The 14,475-nt window shown below is 39.4% G+C and overlaps 2 protein-coding genes across 55 annotated transcripts in view, besides 1 other annotated feature; both read right to left on the bottom strand.

Annotated features, from left to right (window-relative positions):
• The window catches only part of SDHAF4 (succinate dehydrogenase complex assembly factor 4), a 31,499-nt gene extending 24,914 nt beyond the window's left edge, over positions 1-6,585 (bottom strand). For both annotated transcript variants that reach the window (XM_047418210.1, NM_145267.3), the window contains exon 1: positions 6,511-6,585. In XM_047418210.1, the coding sequence (XP_047274166.1) occupies positions 6,511-6,574 (64 nt within the window). In that variant the 5' untranslated portion in view covers positions 6,575-6,585. The remainder of the gene's footprint in view (positions 1-6,510) is intronic.
• Positions 6,238-6,297: a silencer, noted in NCBI's record as "silent region_17319". NCBI's record gives its function as "represses an Ori minimal core promoter by ATAC-STARR-seq in GM12878 lymphoblastoid cells {active_cell/tissue: GM12878}" and the evidence as "EXISTENCE:reporter gene assay evidence [ECO:0000049][PMID:35858748]".
• The window catches only part of FAM135A (family with sequence similarity 135 member A), a 147,667-nt gene continuing 145,532 nt past the window's right edge, over positions 12,341-14,475 (bottom strand). For all 53 annotated transcript variants that reach the window (XM_047419158.1, XM_047419165.1, XM_047419169.1 and 50 more), the window contains one exon: positions 12,341-13,799. In XM_047419158.1, coding sequence (XP_047275114.1) covers positions 13,594-13,799 — 206 coding nt within the window. In that variant the 3' untranslated portion in view covers positions 12,341-13,593. The remainder of the gene's footprint in view (positions 13,800-14,475) is intronic.

Below are 14,475 nucleotides of genomic sequence, written 5' to 3'. Positions count from 1 at the left end.
AGGCAGGTGGATCACCTGAGGTCAGGGGTTCAAGACCAGCCAGGCCAATCTGGTGAAACTGCGTCTCTACTTGAAATACAAAAATTAGCTGGGTGTGGTGGAGGGTGCCTGTAATCCCAGCTACTCAGGAGGCTGAGGCAGGAGAATCACTTGAACCCAGGAGGCAGAGTTTGCAGTGAGCCAAGACTGTGCCACTGCACTCCAGCCTGGGCGACAGAGTGAGATTCCGTCTCAAAAAAAAAAAAAAAAAGGCCAAATAGCAGAATAAATACAATTGAAAAGAGAATTTATAATCTGGAATAAAGTTGCAAAGAAATTATACAGAAAAACGCATAGAGACAAATGAATAAAAATAATGAAAGATTAGCTGGGCATGACTGCATGACGGTGGTGCCTATAGTCTTAGCTACTTGGCAGAAGGCTGAGGCGGGAGTATGGCTTGTGTCCTGGAGATCAAGGGTGTAATGAGCTATGACTGCACTACTGCTCTCTATCCTGGTGACAGGACAAGACTCTGTCTCTCAGAAAAAAGAAAAAAGTGTTCCCAGAAGTAAAGTGGGAGATAAGAATACAGAGAAAATGCTTTAACATACTGACTATACAAAAGTCTTTATGTTTATCAAAATCAAAATCTTTATAGGTTTTATCAAAATCAAAATCCCACCCAAAACACACATACCTGTGCATGCATGTGCACACACACACAGACCCACGAGTCTGAACAGAGGAATGTAATTTTATCAGTAATTATAAGGGTAAAGAGACTATTAGTCTGCAAAACAACAAAAACCCCCATACAAACAAACCGGAAACAAGCCATATGCTGTTTATGTGAGATGCACCATTTGCATGTTTAAAAAAAAAACCACGGAAAATGGAAAAATAAGATAATAAGAAAAAAATGAATAAAAACATAATTTACAATGTAAAAATAACTTTCAATATAGTCTTCATTTTTTAATTGATAAATATTATATACATTTATGGTGTACAGCATGTTTTCAAATATGTATATATTGTGAAATAGCTAAATCAAGCTAATATATGCCTTAACTCACATATCTATTATTTGTGATGAGAAAATTTAAAATCTACTTTCAGCAATTTTCAAGTATACAATACACTGATATTAACTATAGTCACCATGTTGTACAATAAATATCCTTTGCATAACTTATAACAAAGAAGATCAACAATAAACAAAGGTTGGTGCTCTGAAAAGACTGAAAGTGTTCCAGCCTGGCCAACATGGTGAAACCTCGTCTCTACTAAAAACACAAAAATTAGCCAGACATGGTGGTGCACGCCTGTAATTCCAGCTATGAGGCTGAGGCAGGAGAATCACTAGAACCCGGGAGGTGGAGGTTGCAGTGAGCCAAGATCGCACCACTGCGCTCCAGCCTGGGCGACAGAGCAAGACTTTGTCTCAAAAAAAAAAAAAAAAAAAAAAAAAAAAGACAAAAAAAGACTGAAAGTGTTGTAAAAGCTTTGGTAAGGCTACTATAAAAAAACAAGAGAAAGCAAAATAGATAATATGAGAAAAAGAGAGTACATATTATATGGAGAGCAGAAAATTTTAAAAAAATACCAGAAACTTTATGCCTATATATTGAAACAATACAAAATGGAAACCTTTCCAGAAAAAGTTAACTTACCAAAACTGACTTAAGAGGAAACCTGATAAATATAATAATAACCATTATAGAAGTTAAACAAGTAATTTAAAGTCTTCCCTCGAAGAGAAGAACAGGTCTAGACAGTTTTGCAGGTGAGTTGTAACAAACCCTCAAGGAACAAATAATTCCAATCTTAAACAAAATCTAACAAAGAAGGGAAAAGAGTGAGTAGAATCCCCAGTACATTATATGAGGCTAGAATAACCTTAATATTAAAACCAGGGAAGGCTGGGCGCGGTGGCTCACACCTGTAATGCCAGCACTTTGGGAGGCCAAGGCAGGCATATCACGAGGTCAGAAGTTTGAGATCAGCCTGGCCAATATGGTGAAACCCTGTCTCTACTAAAAATACAAAAATTAGCTGGGAGTGGTGGCGTGTGCCTGTAATCCCAGCTACTCCGGAGGCTGAGGCAGAAGAATAACTTGAACCCGGGAGGCAGGGGTTTCAGTGTATAATAGAAGAAAATTACAGGCCAATTTCTAAACAAAATATAAGCACAACAAATACAACATTATATTTAAAAATATAATCACTATGATCCTTTGGAATATTTTCTAGGAATGCAAGTGATTCACTATCAGAAAAATCTGTAATTTACCACCTCAACAGATTAAAGCAGAAAATGATAAACACCTCAGTAAGACGAAGAACACCTCAGTAAGACAAAGAAAAATCAATTAAGTAAACTTCAAGATTTATTCATCATTAAAAAACAAATACAAATACATAAACAAAAACAAAACAAAATCCCAAAACTCTACATAGAAACAGACTTCCTTAACCCAAAAAGGGTATAACTGTAGCTAATACCATATTTTTTTTTTCATGTTCCATGAAATTTTATTTCACAAAGGCTTGGACTCTGAAGACCCACAGTTATGGATCATTAAATCCTGTAAGTAAATGTAAATCCAAAATAAAGAGTTTTAACAAAAACATAAGACGGAGATTTTTTGGTTTAAAAGAACAGAATTATTTGGGAGATAGCTAGAACTCTTCCCTGAGGATTCGTTTATAAAACATGCCTTAGAAGTTATTAGGAGATGGTGACTTAAAAAAAAATGTAGCAATTTTATCTAAATGACTGCAATATCACACCTTAATGATAAAAAGAAATGCATTCCCTTTATAATCATAAACAAGATAAGTATGCTTGCTGTCAACACTTCTAGTCAACATGGTGCTGGAAATCTGAGCAAAGAAAGAAAAAAGATATAAGGATTAGACAGGGAGGGTGGTGGGGGGCACGGTGGCTCTCGCCTGTAATCCCAGGACTTTGAGAGGCCGAGGCTCTCAAGGATCACTTGGCTAACATGGCAAAACCCCATCTCTAAAAAAAATATAAAAATTAGCCGGGCATGGTGGTGCACACCAGTAATCCCAGCTACTCGGGAGGCTGAGGCAGGAGAATCACTTGATTTCGGGAGGTGGAGGTTGCAGTGAGCAGAGATTGCGCCACTGCACTCCAGCCTGGGTGACAGAGCAAGACCCTTTCTCAAAAAAAAGGATTAGACAGGGAGAAACTAGACTGTCACCATTTGCAGATGATATGAATGGCTATGCAGCAAAGTCCCCAAAATCTGCAAAGTAAATTATTTAAATTAATAAGGTAATTTAGATACAAAATCATTAAGCATCATGTTTCTGTACATAAACAACAGTCAGAAAATAGTAAGATTTATAACAAAGTTATGGCTATAATTATCAAGACAGGTAGTATCAGCACAGGAATAGACAAATAGGTCAATGGGACTGAGAAAAGAGCCAAGAAATAAACGTATGCCTATATGTATAAGTAAACTTGATTTATGATGGCTCGCATTATATCAGTAGGGGAAAGGTCCTATAAATACATGAACCTGGGACAAGTGTTTGATATGAAAAAAAATGAAAACTGGTTTCCTGCCTCACACCATATACAAACCATCAATTCCTGGTAGAATAAAGGCTTAAATGTGAAAAGCAAAACTATAAACCTTTGAGAAGAAAATATAAGAGATTATGTCCATGACTTTAGGGTACAGAAGGGTTTCTTAGACAAGACCACAAGGCAGTCACAATAAACAAAAGGATCAAGACAAAATTTTATAGATAAAATTATAAACATCTGTTTATTAAGATACCTTTTATATTGAAGCTGCATGATTACACATGCAGACCCGTTATTCTATTCTGCCTAGCAGTGACAGAAACAAACCACAAATTGAGGTATTTGACACTTACGTAACTAAAAAAGGTTTAGCATACAAATATATGTAAAGAATATAAATAAGAAGCAATCTGTTAAGAAAAAAGGCCGGGCGTGGCAGCTCACGCCTGTAATCCCAACACTTCGGTAGGCCGAGGCTGATAGATCACCTGAGTTCATGGCAAAACCCTGTCTCTACCAAAAATACAAAAAATTATCTGGGTGTGGTGGTGGGCGCCTGTAATACCAGCTACTTGGGAGGCTGAGGCAGGAGAATCGTTTGAACTCAGGAGGCAGATGTTGCAGTGAGCTGAGATCTCGCCATTGCACTCCAGCCTGGGCAACAAGAGTGAAACTCCGTCTCAAAAACAAAGAAAGAAAAAAGAGGCCGGGTGCGGTGGCTCACGCCTGTAATCCCAGCACTTTGGGAGGCCGAGACGGGCGGATCACGAGGTCAGGAGATCGAGACCATCCTGGCTAACACGGTGAAACCCCGTCTCTACTAAAAATACAAAAATTAGCCGGGCGTGGTGGCGCGCGCCTGTAGTCCCAGCTACACGGGAGGCTGAGGCAGGAGAATGGCGTGAACCCAGGAGGCGGAGCTTGCAGTGAGTCGAGATCGCGCCACTGCACTCCAGCCCGGGCGACAGAGCGAAACTCCGCCTCAAAAAAAAAAAAAAAAAAAAAGAAAAAAGAAAGAGGTATTTCACAAAAAGTGAATATTTGAAAAGATGTTTTACTTCTTTAATCAGAGAAAAGCAAAATCACAATGAGGTGTCATTTCATTTCCCTGTAGGCAGCCAAAAATTAAAACCTAAGGCAAAATTAAGTTTCGGCAAGTTTGTGGAACAACAGAACTCCAATACACTGCTGGTAGAAGTGAAAATTGCTATAGAATTAGAAAATGCCGTTACACCTTGGCATTATATTGTAACAATGAAAAGACCTATAACATACTCCAGGAATTCTACTCCTTCCACTAATGCACAAATAAGGTACACAAGAATGTGTAGCACCCAATCCTAGTGTTTCTGGAATTACCCAAATGTCCTTTGAGAAGGGCACTGGAAAATGCATCATATGTTCACACAGTTGAATGAATAACTACAACCTCATGCGTCAATGTGACTCAATCACAAAACACAGCGTTATCTGAAAAAAAATCAACAATATGAAAACATTTCTATAAAGATTAAAAACACCATTGCACAGTTGTATCAGGAAGCAGCAAATAGAGACCTCCTTGGCAATAGAGACTATTTCTTAAATTGGAGTATAAGTTCATAGATGCTGGTTGTGCTTCATAGCTTACATGACTGCTACATAGCTTACATGTGTGCTACGTGTGTGTGTGTGTATACATATATATATATGGAATAATTCATAATTGTTTAAAACTAGTTAAAGGGGGATGTTGAATGAACCCTACAAAATTTTAACGTTATTACCTTGAGGTTTGGATAATGTAGGACTTTCACTTTCTGTATTATTCATTTCTGGACTATTTAAAACTTATACAATTAAGTAAAATGTTTGTATTTGGGTAAAATGATTGCACAAAGGAAAACAAATTGCATAGAAATCTGGCACCATTTGAGGGCAATAATTACTGTTTTCAACTTACATAACTTCTCCAGGTGTCATATATTAAAATTATGTTTTGCGGACCGGGCGCGGTGGCTCACGCCTGTAATCCCAGCACTTTGGGAGGCCGAGGCGAGCGGATCACAAGGTCAGGAGATCGAGACCATCCTGGCTAACACGGTGAAACCCCGTCTCTACTAAAAATACAAAAAATTAGTCAGGCACGGTGGCGGGCGCCTGTAGTCCCAGCTACTCAGGAGGCTGAGGCAGGAGAATGGCGTGAACCTGGGAGGCAGAGCTTGCAGTGAGCCGAGATTGCGCCACTGCACTCCAGCCTGAGGGACAGAGCGAGACTCCATCTCAAAATAAATAAACAAATAAATAAATAAATAAATAAAATTATGTTTTGCATAGTCTGGGCTGCTAACTGTATTATCTTGAGAAAAATTTCCAACAACAATGGGTTTAAAAATGTTGGTTTTACTGAAAGCATGAATGCTTTTTCTGTACTGACAATTCCTGGCTTCATCTAATTTACGTTATACTTATTTGCCTTTGGCTCACTTCTGCACTTTTCCCATTTTTAAAAGATAAACTGTAAACTGCCACAAATCCTTTTCTGCTGGAGCCTGGACCAGGAGCGCGGATTCCTGTAAATAATGATGTAAATAAATAAGTAAATCAATGACTCCCATTCCCAAAGGGCCTTCTTTTCCATTTTTCTCTGGGGCATCGAAGTGCGGTGTGCCCTGCGAGCTCCCACAGGAACAACCCGGAACGTTTGTGGTCCTGTTGGGCCACCGCGTGCTCGGTAGGAAGCGGACGTCCCGGGGGCTGAAAGGGCCTTAGCGATTTTCTCGCTCTAGTCCCACCCGAGACCCGGGGCGCTGCAGGAACCTGCCCAGGCCACCGGGTGGGCGGCTGGGCGGGAGAAGCTGGGCAGCCCCTGGCAACACCGAACGGCCAGGACACACGCGGCTTCCTCCGCGGGAGGCGCTTCTCTCTGCGCCTGGGCCTTCACGACCCCTCCCGCGACCGTGGCCCCGAGGCCAGGTGCTTACTTGCCGCTCTCCACGCCGTGGCCGAGACCCAGCTAAGCAACCAGGGAAGCCTCGATGGGGTCATGGCGCCGACTCCCCGAGCCTCCGCGCAGGCGCAAAGCAGTAGTGGGAGGAGCAGGGGGCATGATCCGGAGCCTCCCTGCAGAGGGCGGGGCCTCCGTGGCCGGCTTTAGAAAAGGAGTTAGAGGCATCCCTGGGCTCTTTGGCCAAGAGAGACCCAGGCTACCTTGAGCCCGGTGTTAAAACGCCAAATCGTGGCTGCAGTTAGAAGAGGGAATAATTCCGTTCCGTTCATGCTTGTCAGTCTGAGCCGAAATGGCCCGTGGAAGATCCCTTTTATAGTTTACAAAGATTGAGCACCTTTTACTCTCTCACTCATGTAAAATGCTTCTTTTACCTAATTCTCCCTGTTTTGTGTTTTAAATCTTTGTTCAGTCAGCTCCTAGTTCGTCCATTCTGACCGACTAACCAGATGATATGAAAGGCGACATTTTTGAATGAGGTGCAAAGCAAGAAAAGGCTCTCCATCCAGGCCAGGATCCAGTGCAATGAGCTCTGCCCCTTAACCCTTACATCCCACCAGCTCTGATAGCGTTGAGTGGATGTGGCAGACCTGGATGCTTTGTGCAACTCGTGGAAATATTTACAGAATCATAGTGAAGGCCCCCAGAATTCTGGAATTTTGTCTTTTCTTTTAAAGAAAAGTTTCTGGCTAGCTATTGCGCCTTGGTAGTGTCTGACCATGTGACATCAAGTGGTTATACGATCGAAGCTTCTTATCATGAACTGAGAATTATCTGGTTCTCCTAGATAAGGAGATCCTTTTACGAAGAGAAAGTGGGCCGGGCAAGGTGGCTCACTCCTGTAATCCGAACACTTTGGGAGGCCGAGGCGGGTAGATTACCTGAGGTCAGGAGTTCGAGACCAGCCTGGCCAACACTCTACTAAAAATACAAAAATTAGCCGGGCGAGGTGGCACATTCCTGTAATCCCAGCTACTTGGGAGGCTGAGGTAGAAGAATCGCTTGAACTCGGGAGGCGGAGATTGCAGTGAGCAGAGATCACGCCACTGCACGCCAGCCTTGGAGACAGAGCAAAACTCCATCTCAAAAACAGAAAAAGAAAAAAGAGAGAAAGTGGGATACACAGAACTGGGCCAAAGTCAAAACGGAAACAGTTTTCATTTGTAGGGAGCTCACAGTCCTAATATCATGCTTTTGACCTTTAGCTTATATCTACAGTTTAATAATGAATTCCTTGTGACTAGCTGACTGAGGAAAAAATTCAAAGTCGGATGATGGCTTTGCTCAATAAACTGGCCCAGCTGGCAACTGACTGCTTTTCATATTTAGAGCCCCACTTAACAGAGGCCCTGAAGGAACAGAACAGGGAAAAAAAATTATTTCCAGCATGCATAATTTAGCTTATTTATGTATTTTATGTTTTTACAGGCACATGTCACCACACCTGGCTGATTTTTCTATTTTTAGTAGAGACAGGGTTTCGCCATGTTGACCAGGCTGGTTTCAAACTCCTGGCCTCAAGGGATCCACCCCTCTCAGCTTCCCAAAGTGCTGGGATTACAGGTGTGAGCCACTGTGCCTGGCCAGAATTTAGCTTATCTTGTATGCTTTGCCTAAAAAGAGACATGGCTTGAGATAAAAATCGACATTTCATAGGCAGTGACTGGTTTGTCAAGTGGCTGGGAACTGGGAATGTAAAAGTTTTGGACTGGGTCTTTGGAATAGGACCTCTCAAAGTGGTCCCAAAGCATGAAAACATTTGGGTCCTATTGAACGTTAAAAAAAAAAAAAAAAAAAAGAGCTTCCATTGCAGAAGGGCTCTTAATCAGAACAAGATTATTAGTTATCTATTGCTGCCTCACAAATTATCCCAAAATTTATTGGCTTAAAGCAATAAACAGTTATTCTCTCACAGTTTTTGTGGATCAGTAACCTAGAAGCCAGAGTGACTGTGGTTCTGGGTCCTAAATGAGGTTGCAGCCAAGCTGTTGGCTGAAGTCCCAGTCTCGTATAAATGCACAACTAAGGGAAGATCTGCTTCCAAGCTCATTCACATGATTATTGGCAAGATTTGGTTCCTTGTGGACTTTGGACTGGAAACCTTCTCAGTTATTTGTTAAGTGGGCTTCTCCAAAGGCTATCTTGCAACATGGCAGCTGGCTTTCCACAGGACAAATGAACTAAGGAGCAAGAAAGACCACTCAAAATGGAAGCCCTGAACTTCTGTAATCTCATTTCGGTAGCGACATCCCACCACTTCCACTGTATCCTATTATTAGGTCCCGGCCACTCTCAAAAGGGGATTACACAAGGGCTGCAACAGTGACCCATTCTGTGGACATCAATTACTCAGCCTCCTTCCCCCACAACAGGTGTGGACTCAGTAACAAGGTAGCCACGGTGGCAAGAATGGAGACATACATGTACTTTTAACACCGTCTTTCTTCTGCCATGACTGATTGGCTACTACCACTACTCGCCAACTGCAGTGACCAACTTGATCCCATGATACACTTTTATGTGGTCTGGGTGGCAGGTCTGATTACAATGAAATCCTACTGTTATGAAGGAGGTTGCAATTTGTTCTTACAGGAAGAGACAATTATTCTGCATTTAGATTGTTTTCCCTGATTTATGCTTATTATATACTTCACCTGTGGACTTACTGAATACCTTAACACACTACTCCATATTTAATACAATATCATATACAACATTGCTTCTTACCGAAGAACTCATTTTCTTGTGAAAGATGTAAAGCAGGGGACTAATGCCTGCAGGATTCACAGTCTTATATATTCCATCATCCAAAAGCAACCGATTTTATGGAATGACGGACAGCCTTATTGAAGGTTGTTTTGGAACGAGGTGAGAAAATACACTTTGGGATACTGCCCTAAAGGATTTGTCATATTTTCCAAATGAGTCAACGGTATTTGGTGATATATCTTCTGTTGACAGAATAACAGAGATCAAAGAGTAGAAAAGGGTCTGACTTCTTACTATTGCATATGACTTACTGATATAAAATATATTTTGCTTTCCATTGTAGTAGAGAAGAGACAAGCTCCGAAGGCCCCTGAACATGCCTGTATATTATTACTGAGTGTGCCAGACTGCAAGCCGTATCCATCTCCTGATGCTAAGCAGTTTCTGTAGTTAGTCATATAGGCACCTAAGTAGGTCAAGGCAATCACAGCATTACTACCATTTAACTGCTGCTCCCTGGGGGAGAGAGACTAGCTTGTTTGTTGTTTGCTCAAAAACTGCTTGATTCTTGATCCTGGATTCTTCTGTAATGCAACCCCCCATGTGCACAGACGTCATCCGGCCCTCTGCATCACACTGTGGGAATTGGGCTACGGGAACTGATGCAAATATGCGGACACTCTGGCTTCTATTTTGCTGTAATAAAGCTGTTTTGTCTTTTGTCCAGGAGTATCCTGTCATCATCCATGAAACTGCAGCAACCTAGCCTGTAACCTTGCAAGTAGGATAAAATCTCAGACCCTTCACTACTCTTGCTAGCCATCTCTGAGTCCAGGTTCTGTTGGTATAGCAATTTTTGTGCCCAGCTGGAATTGCCACCCAGCCATTTTGACCTCATTCCTCTAGGTAAGGTTAGAGAAAGTGGTGATGGTGCTAGCTGGAGTGATTGGCCCTGATGACCATGGAGAAAAGAGAGTAGGGAGAACAGTATAACCAGAAGTCAGGGGGGTCTCCTGGAATCCCTCCTCACAATACCATGTTTTTATATTTTATTTTAAAAAATACCATGCTGAATGGTAACATTTACATATAAGACTATTACAACCATATATAGGCAAGACCACCCACACCTCAGATCCTCTGTCATCCACTGGATACATAAATCTGATCAGCAGAGGTGCTGCTTGAACATAAAGAAAACAGAAAATAGTTGGCAGTGGTGAGAAGTCATAACCATCTAGATTCACGACCACTGACAGGACTAAGTACTGTATTTGCGACGTGTTATTAGAGAAATTTGGGACATAAAACATGCTGCTGCTTTTACACTATCCTGAAAATTCTGATTCAGGTGGTCCGTAATAAGGTCCTAGAATGTGTATTTTTAAAGTAGTCTAGGTAATTCTTGGCACGGACATTGCAAAGCCCTGCTCTATTTTGTTTTCTTCCTCACTGGCTCATGCATGTTTATAAAATTTTCTCTTATTTCATATGTATATATATATTTGAGTTGGGGGGTCTCCCTGTCGCCCAGGCTGAAGTGCAGTAACTCACTGCAACCTTGAACTCCTGGACTCAAGTGATCCTCCCACCTCAGTCTTCCAAGTAGCTGGGACTACAGGTGCATGCCACCAGGCTCACTTAAATTATTTTCTAGAGATGGGGTCTTGCTATGTTGCCCAGGCTGGTCTTGAATTCCTAGCTCAAGTGATCCTCTCACCTCAGCCTCCCAAAGTGCTGGGATTACAGTCATAAGCCACCACGCCCAGCTTCTTTCCTATTATACTGTTATTATGTATAGGGGTGGTGGTTAGGTCACAATTTTGTCTATGAGTTGCACACTATTGAGATGAGATTATTACAGAATCAGAGAACATCACACTGAGGTCCTGGACTTAAAACTGGATGAGGGATAGTAGTACTATGTCAGAAAGATGCATTTTAAATGTGTAAATATGGAGAGAATTATGCTTGCAGATGTTGGGAAGACAAAAAGATGGACTATATTACACCTGATGTGTTTTTATATTTGGTGCTGTCATCAAACCCATTTCATATGTTTGGTTAACCTTGGTAGAATAAAGGGTCCCATTTTCTACTGTGGAAACTAACGAGGTCAGATACATCTGCTGTCTTTGATGCCTGACAGCCCAAGCACTGGCACAAGACTTAAACTTGGTCAGTTGGACATTCTACTACGCTTTGAATCTGAAGTGATAAAACAAGTACTTGAAATCCAGTTTCCAGGGTCATCCTGGCTAGAGAAGAATACAGTCATTTAGCTCTGAGGTCATCAGAACTTGGCTATGCTTTTGGTCATCTACTTTCCTTTGGCTTCTATTTGTTTTCCAAACCTGGCTCTCTAGCCTTTCCATCAATTCTGTGAGCTACCTGATCCTCCTCCAATAAATTCTTTTTCTGTTTAGGTTGATCATAATTTTTTTTGTTGTTTGCAACCAAGAACTCTTACTGGTATACTTCAATGAGATTCATTCTCTAAAGTAAGAGTCAATAATACCATTTCAGATCATTGTTTCCTCTCTCCCCCATAACTGTACCCCATCTCCCACAATCTGAATTTGGAGGTGAATAGTGTGTGGTGGTTTCCCAGATAAATCAAGTAAGTTAAATTTGTTAGATTTTAAACCATGAACACAGATGTGCTTTTAGAACTGTATTAAAATAACCAAAAACTAATCAATCAACTATGATAAGAGCAATTTCCACTCAAATACTATTTATATGATTGAGTCCTTTGATAAACCTGAAAATTATCCAAACTTTGAATATGCACATTTCAAACTCAGAGCCAAGATATAGGAATATAAAAAATGTGCTTGGCAAAAATATGTGGTGGCTAATTAATATATTTACATTTTCTAGTTATAATGCACTTGGGATATTAGTTTATAAAAATTTTGAGTACTTTCTAAAAAGTAAATAATTATCAATAGCAATCAAAATTATTTTAACTATAATAATATATACAAAAGATATAAAAATACAAAGGCTACAAGTTATATAATTAGGCTGGTCTATGTTATAAATAAAATATATATACCTCTAGTATTCAGAGAATAAGCAAAGGATTACAAGGGTTGTAGCTGTTCCTCCAGATAGCCATTTGTTCATTTATTAACACCAGAGGCAATAACAACGCTAAAAATAAACATGCATCAATTGTACAATAAATACTTACAAAAACCTCTGTCTGTCACAATTAGTGAGTGCAAACAGAACTTCTACCCAACCTTAGTGCATTTTTATTTTCACAAGTAAAACAGAAAAGGAAAATAGTGAATTTAATGCTATTCAGCACCTTTAGTAAAGTCAAAAGACTCAACATCTCCATATATCAAAAACATTTGCATCTGTATCACCAAACATGTAAAGTTAATTATTTTGTTCCATCTTTAACATGAATTATTTTATTTACATTACTTTTTAGTTCAATAAATTTTAACAATATTTAAAAATTATCTAAATTCATAAAAGTATTTCATAAATTTCAACATTTAATTATTATGTACATATAAGGAAGTCCATGAAAAAAGTTAAAAGAAAATGTAGTCATAAAGTTCAAGCAACATTACCAATTTAGCAAAAATTCCAACCAAATCAAGGCAGAGGGCATTCAAACATTCAAAAATCTTTATCTGCTGCCAACATGTACAGGAACATTTCCAGTAATAAAAGTCAGTATGAGAAATAATGTTGAAATCACCAGTAGAAAATATATTTTAATAGGCATGAAATATGTTTAAGCAACAGTAATGACTTTATAGAAAACTTGTATTACACTGTTTTATATGAACTACCTGGTTTGATTGTATGATAAAGTTGTATTTTAGAACTACAGAAGTTGATTTCAAAAAATATATTGTAGCAGCCATAATTTTATTTCCAGTTAAAACACAGTAAAATGTGAAAAGAAAAATTTATAATTAACTAAATAATACCCCCAGTATTAGAAAATTTTAAATCCCATGCTATTCTAGCAATAATGGTCTCTAATATAATGTAGTCTGATGTAAGAATTGTGGAAAGCCAATAATAAACAATCAGACACAGGTATGGGCTTAAAGTTTCACTGAAATACTTAGGTAGCAAAATATATGAAAAAGTAATAGAAAAGTAAAAAGATAAAATTAAAAAAATATTGCACAGCCACATTACCTAGAAAGTAAAGTTGATGTTTAAAAAGCACTAAACATGGATGATATAAATTATCTTCCATATAAAAAGGTATAAATATTTCTTAGAACTTATCAGCATCTACATTTTAATATAATACATTATTTGAAACATTGTTGAATGAGGTAATTGTCCAGTCGCTAACAATGCTTTTATACTATTGGAAATATTTGAGGGCAGCAACCAGAAAGAATTTCTCTAAAAATATTTCCGAATCAAGAACAGCTATATGTGCAGCTCTCCCAATGAGTGAATCAGCTGTATTGGGCAATGCATTGATGACATTATAGCGAACCAAATTACAGTCCTTGCTTTGCAGAACGGGTCGAAGCAAGTTGTGGATCATTTCTGAATAGATCTGTCCTATGGAACCAACAGAAAAAAGGAAAATTAGTTCACAATAGTAACTGAAAATAAAAAAACTATGCCAATTTTTAGATAAGTTATAAAATTTAGTTACATTATTTCCATATAAAGCAGAAAAATGGCTCTTTTTAAAAAGGTTTAATTTTCCTTCAACTATCATTTTTGGTTCTGTTTATAGAAAATGTAAGTAATCACATTATCTAGTCAAGTGGAAATAACAAATTTATTATACATTATTCTTGAAATTTGATTTTTTTTTTTTTTTATTTTTGAGATGGAGTTTCACTCTTGTTGCCCAGGCTGGAGTGCAATGGTGTGGTCTTGGCTCACTGCAACCTCTGCCTCCCGGGTTCAAGCCATTCTCCTGTCTCCGCCTCCTGAGTAGCTGGGATTACAGGCATGCACCACCACACCCAGTTAATTTTTGTATTTTTAATAGAGTTGGGGTTTCACCATGTTGGCCAGGCTGGTCTCGAACTCCTGACCTCAGGCGATCCTCCCGCCTCAGCCTCCCAAAGTGCTGGGATTACAGGCGTGAGCCCCTGCGCCCAGCCGAAATTTGGTATTTTTAACTCAAAGCAATGCCTATAACAAAGAAATAGTTTTCTTTAATGTTAAGTCACTTATAACTCATTAAACAATTATGAAAATAAGCTAGACATGGTGAGACATT

The sequence above is a fragment of the Homo sapiens genome, chromosome 6, assembly GCF_000001405.40.
Source record: "Homo sapiens chromosome 6, GRCh38.p14 Primary Assembly".
NCBI classification, from domain to species: Eukaryota; Metazoa; Chordata; class Mammalia; order Primates; family Hominidae; genus Homo; species Homo sapiens.
The sequence above is the reverse complement of the archived record's forward strand: the minus strand, read 5'-3'. Positions and strand labels throughout refer to the sequence as shown.